The 14,674-nt window shown below is 40.2% G+C and overlaps 1 annotated feature.

The window, feature by feature from the left end:
- Positions 1,952-2,623: an enhancer, noted in NCBI's record as "H3K27ac hESC enhancer chr5:43745853-43746524 (GRCh37/hg19 assembly coordinates)". NCBI's record gives its function as "activates a minimal SCP1, AML or CMV promoter by ChIP-STARR-seq in primed H9 embryonic stem cells {active_cell/tissue: H9 hESC(primed)}" and the evidence as "EXISTENCE:reporter gene assay evidence [ECO:0000049][PMID:30033119]".

Here is a 14,674-nt window from a genome sequence, read left to right as displayed (position 1 = left end):
CCAAAAACCCATCTGTACGCCACCATCATCAAAGACCAAAGGTAAATAAAACCACGCAGATGGGAAAAAAACCAGAGCAGAAAAACTGGAAACTAAAAATCAGAGCATCTCTCTTCCTCCAAAGAAACACAGCTCCTCACAAAGCTGGATGGAGAATGACTTTGACGAGTTGAGAGAAGAAGGCTTCAGACAATCAAACTACTCTGAGCTACAGGAGGAAATTCGAACGAATGGCAAAGAAGTTAAAAGCTTTGAAAAAAAATTAGATGAATGGATAACTAGAATAACCATTACAGAGAAGTGCTTAAAGGAGCTGATGGAGCTGAAAACCAAGGCTCTAGAACTACGTGAAGAATGTAGAAGCCTCAGGAGCCGATGCAATCAACTGGAAGAAAGGGTATCAGTGATGGAAGATGAATGAAATGAAGCGTGAAGAGAAGTTTAGAGAAAAAAGACTAAAAGGAAATGAACAAAGCCTCCAAGAAATATGGGACTATGTGAAAAGATCAAATCCACATCTGATTGGTGTACCTGAAAGTGACGGGGAGAATGGAACCAAGTTGGAAAACACTCTGCAGGATATTATCCAGGAGAATTTCCCCAATCTAGCAAGGCAGGCCAACATTCAAATTCAGGAAATACAGAGAATGCCACAAAGATACTCCTCAAGAAGGGTAACTCCAAGACACATAATTGTCAGATTCACCAAAGTTGAAATGAAGGAAAAAATGTTAAGGGCAGCCAGAGAGAAAGGTTGGGTTACTCACAAAGGGGAGCCCATCAGACTAACAGCTGATCTCTTGGCAGAAACTCTACAAGCCAGAAGAGAGTGGGGACCAATATTCAACATTCTTAAAGAAAAGAATTTTCAACCCAGAATCTCATATCCAGCCAAACTAAGCTTCATAAATGAAGGAGAAATAAAATCCTTTATAGACAAGCAAATGCTGAGAGATTTTTTCACCACTAGGCCTGCCCTAAAAGAGCTCCTGAAGGAAACACTAAACATGGAAAGGAACAACTGGTACCAGCCACTGCAAAAACATACCAAATTCTAAAGACCATCAAGGCTAGGAAGAAACTGCATCAACTAAGGAGCAAAATAACCAGCTAACTTCATAATGACAGGATCAAATTCACACATAACAATATTAACTTTAAATGTAAATGGGCTAAATGCTCCAAATAAAAGACACACACTGGCAAATTGGATAAAGAGTCAAGACCTGCCCTTTCCCTCTCCCTCTCCCTCTCCCTCTTCCTCTCCCCTTTGCACGGTCCTCTTCTCCCCTTTGCACGGTCTCCCTCTGATGCTGAGCCAAGGCTGGACTGTACTGCCGCCATCTCGGCTCACTGCCGCCTCCCTGCCTGATTCTCCTGCCTCAGCCTGCCGAGTGTCTGGGATTGCAGGTGCGCGCCGCCACACCTGACTGGTTTTCGTATTTTTTGGTGGAGATGGGGTTTCGCCATGTTGGCCAGGCTGGTCTCCAGCTCCTGACCACGAGTGGTCTGCCAGCCTCGGCCTCCTGAGGTGCCAGGATTGCAGACGGAGTCCCGCTCACTCAGTGCTCAATGTTGCCCAGGCTGGAGTGCAGTGGCGTGATCTCAGATCGATACAGCCTCCACCTCCCAGCCGCCTGCCTTGGCCTCCCAAAGTGCCGAGATTGCAGCCTCTGCCCAGCCACCACCCCGTATAGGAAGTGAGGAGCATCTCTGCCTGGCCGCCCATCGTCTGGGATGTGAGGAGCCCCTCTGCCTGGCCACCAAGTCTGGGAAGTGAGGAGCGCCTCTTCCCAGCTGCCACCCCGTCTAGGAAGTGAGGAGCGTCTCTGCCTGGCCACCCATCATCTGGGATGTGAGGAGCCCCCTGCCCGGCTGCCCAGTCTGGGAAGTGAGGAGCATCTCTTCCCAGACATCATCCTATCTAAGAAGTGAGGAGCGTCTCTGCCTGGCCGCCCATCATCTGGGATGTGGGAAGCACCTCTGCCCCGCCGCCCCATCGGAGATGTGAAGAGTGCCTCTGCCCGGCTGCGACCCCGTCTGGGAACTGAGGAGTGTCTCTGACCCACTGCCACCCCGTCTGGGAGGTGAGGAGCGTCTCTGACCGGCTGCCCCGTCTGAGAAGTGAGGAGCCCCTCTGCCCGGCAGCTGCCCCGTCTGGGAAGTGGGGAGCCCCTCCGCCTGGCAGTCGCCTGTCTGGGAAGTGAGGAGCATCTCCGCCCGGCAGCCACCCCATCCAGGAGGTGGGGGGGCAGCCCCCACCCAGCCATCCGCCCCATCTGGGAAGTGGGGAGCCCCTCCACCTGGCAGCCACCCCATCTGGGAAGTGAGGAGCGTCTCCACCCGGCAGCCACGCCATCCAGGAGGTTGGGGGCAGCCCCCACCCGGCCAGCCGCCCCGTCCGGGAGGTGGGGGGCAGCCCTCGCTCGCCAGCCGCCCCGTCCGGGAGGTGGGGGCCAGCCCCCACCCGGCCAGCCGCCCCGTCTGGGAGGTGGGGGGGTGCCTCAGCCCAGCTGCCCCTCTGGGAAGTGGGGAGCCCCTCTGCCTGGCCACCCCGTCTGGAAGTGAGGAGCCCCTCTGCCTGGCCACCACCCCATCTGGGAGGTGGGGGGCCCCTCTGCCTGGCCACCCCATCTGGGAAGTGAGGAGCCCCTCTGCCCGGCTGCCACCCAGTCTGGGAGGTATGCCCAACAGCTCATTGAGAACGGGCCATGATGATGATGGCAGTTTTGTCAAATAGAAAAGGGGGAAATGTGGGGAAAAGAAAGAGAGATCAGATTGTTATTGTTTCTGTGTAGAAAGAAGTAGACTTAGGAGACTCCATTTTGTTCTGTACTAGGAAAAATTCTTCTGCCTTGGGATGCTGTTAATCTATAACCTTACCCCCAACCCAGTGCTCTCTGAAACATGCGCTGTGTCCACCAAGGTTTTAAATGGATTAAGGGCGGTGTAAGTTGTGCTTTGTTAAACAGATGCTTGAAGGCAGCATGCTCATTAAGAGTCATCACCACTCCCTAATCTCAAGTACCCAGGGACACAAACACTGCGGAAGGCGGCAGGGCCCTCTGCCTAGGAAAACCAGAGACCTTTGTTCACAGGTTTATCTGCTGACCTTCCCTCCACTATTGTCCTATGACCCTGCCAAATCCCCCTCTCCGAGAAACACCCAAGAATGATCAATAAATACTAAAAAAAAATAAAAATAAATAAAAATAAAATAAAATAAATTTAAAAAAAAGAGTCAAGACCCATCAGTGTGCAGAGACACACATAGGCTCAAAATAAAGGGATGGAGGAAGATCTACCAAGCAAATGAAAACAAAAAAAGGCAGGGGTTGCAATCCTAGTCTCTGATAGAACAGACTTTGAACCAACAAAGATCAAAAGAGACAAAGAAGGCCATTACATAATGGTAAAGTGGTCAATTCAACAAGAAGACCTAACTATCCTAAATATATATGCACCCAATACAGGAGCACCAAGATTCATAAGGCAAGTACTTACTGATCTACAAAGAGACTTAGACTCCCACACAATAATAGTGGGAGACTTTAACACCCCACTGTCAACATTAGACAGATCAACGAGACAGAAAGTTAACAAGGATATCCAGGAATTGAACTCAGCTCTGCACTAAGCAGACCTAATAGACATCTACAGAACTCTCCACCCCAAATCAACAGAATATACATTCTTTTCAGCACCACACCACACCTACTCCAAAATTGACCACATAGTTGGAAGTAAAGCACTCCTCAGCAAATGTAAAAGAACAGAAATTATAACAAACTGTCTCTCAGACAACAGTGCAATCAAACTACAACTCAGGATTAAGAATCTCACTCAAAACCACTCAACTACATAGAAACTGAACAACCTGCTCCTGAATGACTACTGGGTAAATAATGAAATGAAGGCAGAAATAAAGATGTTCTTTGAAATGAACGAGAACAAAGACACAACATACCAGAAGCTCTGGGACACATTCAAAGCAGTGTGTGGAGGGAAATTTATAGCACTAAATGCCCACAAGAGAAAGCAGGAAAGATCTAAAATTGACACCCTAACATCACAATTAAAAGAACTAGGGAAGCAAGAGCAAACACATTCAAAAGCTAGCAGAAGGCAAGAAATAACTAAGATCAGAGCAGAACTGAAGGAAATAGAGACACAAAAGACCCTTCAAAAAATCAATGAATCCAGGAGCTGGTTTTTTGAAAGGACCCACAAAATTGATACACCACTAGCAAGACTAATAAAGAAGAAAAGAGAGAAGAATCAAATAGATGAAATAAAAAATGACAAAGGGGATATCATCACCGATCACACAGAAATACAAACTACCATCAGAGAATACTATAAACACCTCTACACAAATAAACTAGAAAATCTAGAAGAAATGGATAAATTCCTCGACACATACACTCTCCCAAGACTAAACCAGGAAGAAGTTGAGTCTCTGAATAGACCAATAACAGGCTCTGAAATTCAGGCAATAATTAATAGCTTACCAACCAAAAAATGTCCAGGACCAGATGGATTCACAGCTGAATTCTACCAGAGTACAAGGAGGAGCTGGTACCATTCCTTCTGAAACTATTCCAATCAATAGAAAAGAGGAAATCCACCCTAACTCATTTTATGAGGCCAGCATCATACTGATACCAAAGCCTGGCAGAGACACAACAAAAAAAGAGAATTTTAGACCAATATCCTTGATGAACATCGATGCAAAAATCCTCAACAAAATATTGGCAAACCGAATCCAGCAGCACAGCAAAAAGCTTATCCACCATGATCAAGTGGGCTTCATCCCTGGGATGCAAGGCTGGTTCATCATACGCAAATCAATAAATGTAATCCAACATATAAACAGAACCAAAAACAAAAACCACATGATTATCTCAATAAATGCAGAAAAGGCCTTTGACAAAATTCATCAACCCTTCATATTAAAAACTCTCAATAAATTAGGTATTGATGGGATGTATCTCCAAATAATCAGAGCTATCTATGACAAACCCACAGCCAATATCATACTGAATGGGCAAAAACTGGAAGCATTCCCTTTGAAAACTGCCACAAGACAGGGATGCCCTCTCTCACCACTCCTATTCAACATAGTGTTGGAAGTTCTGGCCAGGGCAATCAGGCAGGAAAAGGAAAAAAAAGGGCATTCAATTAGGAAAAGAGGAAGTCAAATTGTCCCTCTTTGCAGATGACATGATTGTATATCTAGAAAACCCCATCGTCTCAGCCCAAAATCTCCTTAAGCTGATAAGCAATCTCAGCAAAGTCTCAGGATACAAAATCAATGTACAAAAGTCACAAGCATTCTTATACAACAATAACAGACACACAGAGAGCCAAATCATGAGTGAACTCCCATTCACAATTGCTTCAAAGAGAATAAAATACCTAGGAATCCACCTTACAAGGGAAGTGAAGGACCTCTTCAAGGAGAACTACAAACCACTGCTCAATGAAATAAAAGAGGATACAAACAAATGGAAGAACATTCCATGCTCATGGGTAGGAAGAATCAATATCATGAAAATGGCCACACTGCCCAAGGTAATTTATAGATTCAATGCCATCCCCATCAAGCTACCAATGACTTTCCTCACAGAATTGGAAAAAACTACTTTAAAGTTCATATGGAACCAAAAAGGAGCCCGCATTACCAAGTCAATCCTAAGCCAAAAGAACAAAGCTGGAGGCATCACGCTACCTGACTTCAAACTATACTACAAGGCTACAGTAACCAAAACAGCATGGTACTGGTACCAAAACAGAGATATAGATCAATGGAACAGAACGGAGCCCTCAGAAATAATGCCACATATCTACAACTATCTGATCTTTGACAAATCTGACAAAAACAAGCAATGGGGAAAGGATTCCCTATTTAATAAACGGTGCTGGGAAAACTGGCTAGCCATAAGTAGAAAGCTGAAACTGGATCCCTTCCTTACACCTTATACAAAAATTAATTCAAGATGGATTAAAGACTTAAATGTTAGACGTAAAACCATAAAAACCCTAGAGGAAAACCTAGGCAATACCATTCAGGACATAGGCATGGGCAAGGACTTCATGTCTAAAACACCAAAAGCAATGGCAACAAAAGCCAAAATTGACAAATGGGATCTCATTAAACTAAAGAGCTTCTGCACAGCAAAAGAAACTACCATCAGAGTTAATAGGCAACCTACAGAATGGGAGAAAATTTTTGTAACCTACTCATCTGACAAAGGGCTAATATCCAGAATCTACAATGAACTCAAACAAATTTACAAGAAAAAAACAATCCCATCAAAAAGTGGGCAAAGGATATGAACAGACACTTCTCAAAAGAAGACATTTATGCAGCCAAAAGACATGAAAAAATGCTCATCATCACTGGCCATCAGAGAAATGCAAATCAAAACCACAATGAGATACCATCTCATATCAGTTAGAATGGCAATCATTCAAAAGTCAGGAAACAACAGGTGCTGGAGAGGATGTGAAGAAATAGGAACACTTTTACACTGTTGGTGGGACTGTAAGTTAGTTCAACCATTGTGGAAGTCAGTGTGGTGATTCCTCAGGGATCTAGAACTAGAAATACCATTTGACCCAGCCATCCCATTACTGGTTATACATCCAAAGGATTATAAATCATGCTGCTATAAAGACACATGCACACATATGTTTATTGCGGCACTATTCACAACAGCAAAGACTTGGAACCAACCCAAATGTCCAACAACAATAGACTGGATTAAGAAAATATGGCACATACACACCATGGAATACTATGCAGCCATAAAAAATGATGAGTTCATGTCCTTTGTAGGGACATGGATGAAACTGGTAACCATCATTCTCAGCAAACTATCGCAAGGACAAAAAAACCAAACACCGCATGTTCTCACTCATAGGTGGGAATTGCACAATGAGAACACATGGACACAGGAAGGGGAACATCACAAGCCGGGGACTGTTGTGATGTGGGGGTTGGGGGGAGGGATAGCATTAGGAGATATACCTAATGCTAAATGACGAGTTAATCGGTGCAGCACACCAACATGGCACATGTATACATATGTAACAAACCTGCACGTTGTGCACATGTACCCTAAAACTTAAAGTACAATAATAATAAAATTTGAAAAAAACACACTTGAACCAACTAATCAACATTAACATCATTAAGAGTAGGACAACTTGACATCATACACCTCATAATGTAAAGAATAAGTACACAGAGCTTCCTATGAACTAGTTTCAAAAAAACTGGACTTGAATGTAATTAAGTCTCTAGATCTTATATTCTAGAATTTGAATATAATTGTCTATAGTTCTTATATTCTAGAACTTGAATATAATTATATCTCTAGATCTCTAATGCAACAAATTTACAGGAAGTATGAGGGATAAAGGAACAAACTAGATGACACCATGAAGAAGCCATCAGCCAAATCCAGAGTGAGGAATGTTAAATGATGACACCAGCAACCTGATTTCTTCAACAAAGTAATGGCATTAAGAAAAAGGGAGATGAGGGGAAGAGAACCTGTTACAAACTGAAGAAAACAGACATATCAACTAAATATAAATGTGGTCTTTACTTAAATCCCACTTCTAATAAACCAACTGGAAAAGATATTTCTGAGAAAATTGGGAAATTTTTAAAAAGCCTTACATTTTAAGTGATATTAAGGAATTGGTGTTATTTTTGTTAGGTATAACAATAGTATCGTGGTTATGTTTTTCAGCCCTTATCTGTTAGCAATACCTACTGAAGTATTTACAGATAAAATAATATTGTTTTATCTATAAATGACTAATTCATAGATAAAATTGTTGGGGGAAAGAGAACCAAGTCAAGGGATTGAGGAAGACGTTACTTAAAATTGATAATTGTCGACAATTGTTGAAACTGAGTAATGGATATATTGGAGTTAAGTATACTAACTATACTTTCATGGATGTTTAAAAAATTCCATAATAAAAAGATACTTTAAACTCTTGGTTGAGTTCAGGTGTGACATTTTCAATTGTCAGGAATGCTATCCAGAACTTGTGCTAACCAGTCTTCCCTATTATGTGTAAGAAGCACACATTCCACACATTTGACATATTTACATGATGCTCTGTTCATCTCCCATTCTCCTTACTCGATGCATATCCCAATTGCCTCCAGGCCAAGGAAATAAAGGATTGAATAAGACCCAAAAATTATAGACCATGTGCATCAGTTGGTTCCACAGGCTAGTGACATCATAAAACTATTCAGTGTGTGGGCTAGCCTGGTTTAAGGTAATATTGGGTTTATTTTTGTCAGATGAGAACTGTGTTTGTCAGGACCCTTAATGCAGATGTTCCAATACAATGACAACCTTTAAATGTCAAAGCTGATTTTAAAATGAGACATTTCCAAGATTCATAAACTGGATTTAGAGCCCCTTTCTGGCACCACTGCTTTTCCTATGGACGAACACACAGAAAGGGCATGTGAAGACTTTGCAGTCCTCTGATGCTTCAGGCCTACTGGGCTGGATGTGCAAACAGCAACACTATCAAGCGATTCCCCAAACAACTTAAATCTCTTAAAAAAAAAAAAGTTTGGTGCTGTTGAAAAAAGAATATGGAAAAAACAATACTGCGACACAAAGATCAGCTATAAGAACACAACGATGCCATTATAAATGATAAAAAATCAACTTCTGAAAAAACACTGCAGAAAGCGCACAGATTTGGGAGTCAGATAAACCTGCATTTAAATCCTACTTTTATGTCTTGACCAGGTGTATATCCCATTGGCAGGATGTTAAACTTCTCCACGTTTCACTTCCCTCATTTGTCAAGTGGATATGAAAATGCCTATTTAATAGGACTTTTGTAAAAATTTAAGAAAATTTTACACATATATACAAGTGCTTAGTAAAACACATAAGTACTAAAAAATAGTAACTGTTACATGAATTAGAGTGATGAAATGTTCTATCCAATTAAGATAAGAAGCTCCAAAACTACTTTGCTAGAAAACTAAAAAGGAATGCAACAAACCATTTTAAGACTATTTACTATTCATAACAAAACATGAGCACTTTATAAATCATTTATCAATGCTGAATACATGTCTCCTCAATGCGGTAGAAATGGATATTTCTACAAACAAAAGGCAAAATTACATTACTGAAAATGCCTTGAGTGAAGAGAACAATCAGTTGGTCAGTGTAAATTGCAATTCTCTATTTCCTACTACCATTTCATGAAATTTCCATCAGTTCCTTTGCCACATGACTTTGATTTCTTCCCATCAATTCCTGCCCAGCCTGGTGTGCAATTCCCTTGGCCTATGCCCATGTGCTAATCCATTATCTCAACTCTAAAGTACATATACCTTTTCTTTTGTGTCATGTACATACTTGATTCTCCTTAACTATTGTGTATCCCAATTCTACACTGCCATTTTTATGTAGTATAACTTTATCAATTTATTAATATGGTCACTTATGATGCATAATAATTTGGATAGGCTTTTACGTATTGTTTTGCAAACTTACCATTTATGGAACCAGGTAATAGTGTAGATATATCTTCAGTTAGTTGCTCCTTTGGCATTCTGAAAACACTGTAGAAGTTTGTATTAATAATAAAAATAGCTAATATATATTGAGCATTCAACATGTATTAATAAATGCCTAAAATGCATTAACTAGTATTATCCTGATAACCCTAAAAAGAGGATACTACTACTATTTCCACTGTATAACAAGGAAACTGAGGCTTAAAAATCTCAATTCTTCCTGGAGTTCACATAGCTAGTACATAGAGGAATTGGTATAACAGGTCAGTGGTCAGATTCACGAACCCTTACTCTTAACCATTAGACTTTATCATTCATTTGTATTAAGGATTCTGCATTACAATTACTGTATAAGCTCTTAAGCATATTATCTATCAAAGAATAAAAACACAAGCTCCAAGTTAGTAAAGGTTATATCTCATTCATCTGTGTATCCCCAGTACCTTAACCTACATCCTGCCATACATAGAAAATCAATCTTTGATGAATGAAAAAAACAACTGATATCAAATATAAATTCTTCAAAGTTGTTAGCTCTTGCTATGTTTTGTTTTGAAATCAAATCTGAAGAATGTATCACCACTTATTTATTCACAGACTAACATAGTAATTGTGTTAAATATTCTGATCCATTAATTTAATGCAAACCCCCTGAGAATCTTTCATTAGCAGTATTTTAGTAGCCTCATTTAGTAGCCTAGTATTTTTAGGCACTTCAAAGTCACAAAACCAGTATTATATTTTTTCCAAAATACTCTGGGAATGTTTTTTATTTATCCAACTTTTAATCTAAGTAAACTTCCCACTTTACTTAGACCAAATTAATTAGGTGGTGTTCTGTTGGCTTTATATTTTTATTCCACTATTTAGAGTATATATAAGCCCAATTATTCCACTATTTATATTTTTATTCCACTATTTAGAGTATATATGAGCCCAATTTATTCCACTATTTAGAGTATATATAGGCCCAATTTATTCATATATATTTTTTCAACATATATATGAATATATTGAAATATATATTTTGAAATATATTCACAAAATATATGAAAATATATATTTCAATATATTCAAAAATATATGAATATATATTTTTCAATATATTCATATATATGTTGAAAATATATATATGAATACCTATACTTTCACAGTGTTTCAACTCAATAAAATTAATATTGTCAAGAATTTGGAAATAACTTTTGAATTTAGGCAAGTAGCAAATTCTTTTTCATGATAATAGTAATCAAGGACACAGACACCACTGAAAAAATAACTACCAAATAACAGAACTGATTAGGGTGGGAGGAGCTTCAAGATGGCTGAATAGAGGCATCTGGCACTCGCATCTTCCACAGAGAAGAATCAAAGTAGTGAGTAGAATACTTTGAATAGATTTCTAAGAGAGAACACTAGAATTAACAGAGAAGTGACAGGAACCACCTAAAGCAAGGAAGGAGAGAGAAGCAAGGCAGCCTGCTGTCCTAGGAACAGCTGGGAGCCCAGAGAGGCTCCCTAGTGCAGGGAAAGAGTAAGGGAAAGATCCCAGCAGTTTGCATTCCCACTGTGGACTCCTGTAATCCTCACCATGAGACAGTCCCTCCGTCTTCGTGGACCGAGACTAACATAGGGAGCTGCCTGGAGAACACACAAAGGTATTGGTGCAGAGTCGGAGCTCATGCTGCCTCCTTCACACTGCCCAAGACCTAACGAGCTACAGCAATGCACCATATGAAAGCCCAGCCCCTACCAGATTTCATCTTTTCTAGGGCCCAACAGTCCCCGCATCTCTTCATCCCTAAAGCTCCTTTGATATCTCCCATCCACAGCCTCCACGCTTCTGGCTGCTGCCACCAGGGCCAAAATGAAAGCTACTGAGAGCAACCCCTTCACCCACAGTAGTGGATATGCCACGCATTTGCAAGATCCCTAGGGCAGGCTCCCCCATAAGCAGCCGCTGTCTATATCAAAACTTCTCATATGCTCCACATAAATATATGCTTACCCATAAAAATTAAAATTAAAAAAATTAAAAATAGCTAGAAGAGAGGACTTGAAATATTCCCAACACATAGAAATGATAAATACTTGAGGTGATGAATACCTTAAATACACTGATTTGATTGTTACCCATTCCATGCATGTGTATTCCATACATATTAACAAAATATCACTTATACCCCATAAATATCTACAAATATTAAGCATCAATAAAAAACTTAGAACTAAAAATCCTTTTATTTGGCTTCTCATCATCATTAAATATCATTATCTAAAAGAAATATTTATTGAGTAACTCCTATGTGTAAGACGTAGTACTAACAGCCAAAGAAGAGATTAGTTTTAACATAATATGAACTCTTATTGTATGTCCTTGAGTTGGTAGCTCAACTATTTTGTGCAATTATCTCTTCACTTGTAGAATGGGAGCGTCCATTTCTATCTCTTCATACTTCACAGAGTTGTGAGATTTAGTAAAATTTAAAATGAGACTTTTGTTTAAAGATTCTGCATAAACTCAAGATATCTTTACCTCTAGGTATCATATTAAACTTACATGAAGCAAGCAATACTAAACAGCACAATGAGAGAGACATGGGACTTGAAATCAAGAAGCCCAGATCTTTGATAAGCTCTGACATCTTGCTTGAGGGTCAGATGACTGAGAAATAGGCTAGTCTCCCCATCAAGCAAAGGCAAGTCCTGGACAAAAGAGAAAAGGCAAGTCCTGATTATCCTAAGGACAGACACCCAAAGATGTAAGTTTCAAATATGTCTGAACTAGGAAGATCCACAAAGAAGGAAGATAAACAAAATGAGTCTCATAATCCATAGTCCCCAACTCTGTAGATTTAGGTTGTTATGAATTCAATTAGGCTGTTGTCATTCATTCACTTTTTTCACCAAAAAGTTATTAAACACCTAATACATGTCAGGCACTATGCTGATCATTGGGAACCTAAAGATAAATTAGACAAAAGCCTGTCTCTCAAAACAAAAATAAATAAAGCTAGGAAAACAAATAAATACATTAAAATTTTATAAGAAACTGTGAAAGTTGCTGTAATAAATGTACACACTAATCGTACTAGGAGCATATAAAAACAGCATGTAAACCAAAGTAAGAGAGGACAGGAGAGGCTAAATCCAAAAGGATAAGTAAGCACTACCAAATGAAAGGTATTGAGGAGGCTTTCCAAGCAAGAGGAATAGCATAACGAATCATTGCAACACCTCCATTATCTTAATTTTCCACCATTCCCTTCTCCAATCAACATCTCAAGTGATTCTTATGCACCCCATCCAATACCCTATCAACAATTTTTTGACCAATACAGGACCTCCAGTCTACAGACTCTATCACTTTTACACTGTCTCTCACCCTACTCCTGTCTTCTTTTCCTTCATTACCCAACTTCAATTCCAAGACTCATCATTAAATTCGCTTTTTTACATATGCTCTCAATTTCCTTGCTCCTTTCATAAATTCTGGGTGAGACTCCAATTCTACTTAAATGCAACTGTCTACCCTGTGCATAGCCTGAACAACTCAATGTTGTTGGAGAAAAGCAAACCACCATGCAACAGATCTCACTTTACACTTATTTCTAGTAAGCTAAAAAAAAAAATTAAAATAAAAAAATGCTCTTGATACTGCCTGGCAATTCTCACTTCCCTACTGTCCTACTCTCCTAAAAATCTATTTCACACATCTCACTTCAAATGATAAACACCTCTTCTGCCTCCTTGCTCTCAGCTCTGGCCTTTGTTCCAATTTCACCAAAAAATAGAACCCTTCAGAAGAGTAACTTCTACATCCTGTTTTCTCCACCACAACTGCCACTCTATATATCCTGCCATCCTGCCAGTTCAAAATGGTGAACCACCCAAGATCCTATTGGGGGCCAACTCCTCCACTTGTAAATGGTTCCCATCTGCTCTCATTTAGTCAAGGGCATTGCTTCTGCCGTTACTCCTACTCTCTTCCACCATCACGAATTTTTCTCTCTACTGAGTCAATAACATTTTCTTCTTAAAACGCTTTCCTCCCTTGGCTTATGAGGCACCACTCTCTCAGTTCTTTTTCTACCTCAGGGGCTGCTTATTCAGTCTCCTTCACTGTTTTTTCCTTATCTTCTAAAACTATAAACGTAGAAGTACTAAGACCTCTTCTGCTCTCTCCTAGGTGAGCTCGTCTATAAATTCCATCTATACTTTCACACTCTTCAGTCCCAACCTCTCCCCTGAACTATTGTCTCTTATATAGAGCATGAAGATTCAGAGCTTTATTGAGGGGAGGCAGACTGGGGTGAGGAGGGCATCCATAGAGAAGGGTCGTCCAGGATAAGAATCACAGTCCAAGCAGGGTTAAGAGGGGATCAGTGTGGGAGAGAAATTCAGCATGGGGTATCAGAGCCCAAATATGGTGAGAAGGATATTCATGCAATAGGATAGTCTGACATGAGGAGTCCAACCACGGAGTGGTCTATACAAGATGAATAAGGGATATAAGGGATGGACCATGAAACACAAAAGCCCAGGCAGGAAGAGGAAGACCTTCCCAAGGCAGTGTGGCCAGGCAGAGAGTACCACAGTTCAGCGCAAGTGAGGGAAGGAGGATGTTCATATTAGTACTACTATCTAGACACTACAGTGTGTCCATACAGATGTGTGACCAGGTACAGGGTCAAGATCTAAGTAGGATGAAGAGGATATCCAGGCATCTTTTAAACCAGGGACCTATTTGGTCTCTTTAAAGTAATTTTCAAAATCTCTAACCTGATATAGTATGTGTTTTTCAAGCTCACTTACTGTTATATCCATGTTCTACCTATAAATACAAAATACTGTGGCAACTTGTTGGAATGGGAGTGGGTAGGTACATGAGTGGTGGCCAGGTCTAGTATCATAGAAGAGGTGACAATATTTGTCGGACTGTAAGGATTAATTTGCTTTCCCTAGATGGAGAGAGGGAGCAAAGTAAATCTACACCAAAGGAATTGCAAAGATGTAGAATCATAAAAAATGTCATCCATTTAGTAATTTAAACTAGTTAAAGTCTGGAATGACATAATTTCAATTTGAACAGTAGAT

Source organism: Homo sapiens, chromosome 5 (assembly GCF_000001405.40).
Source record: "Homo sapiens chromosome 5, GRCh38.p14 Primary Assembly".
Taxonomy (NCBI): Eukaryota; Metazoa; Chordata; class Mammalia; order Primates; family Hominidae; genus Homo; species Homo sapiens.
This window is presented reverse-complemented; position numbering and strand designations above follow the sequence as displayed.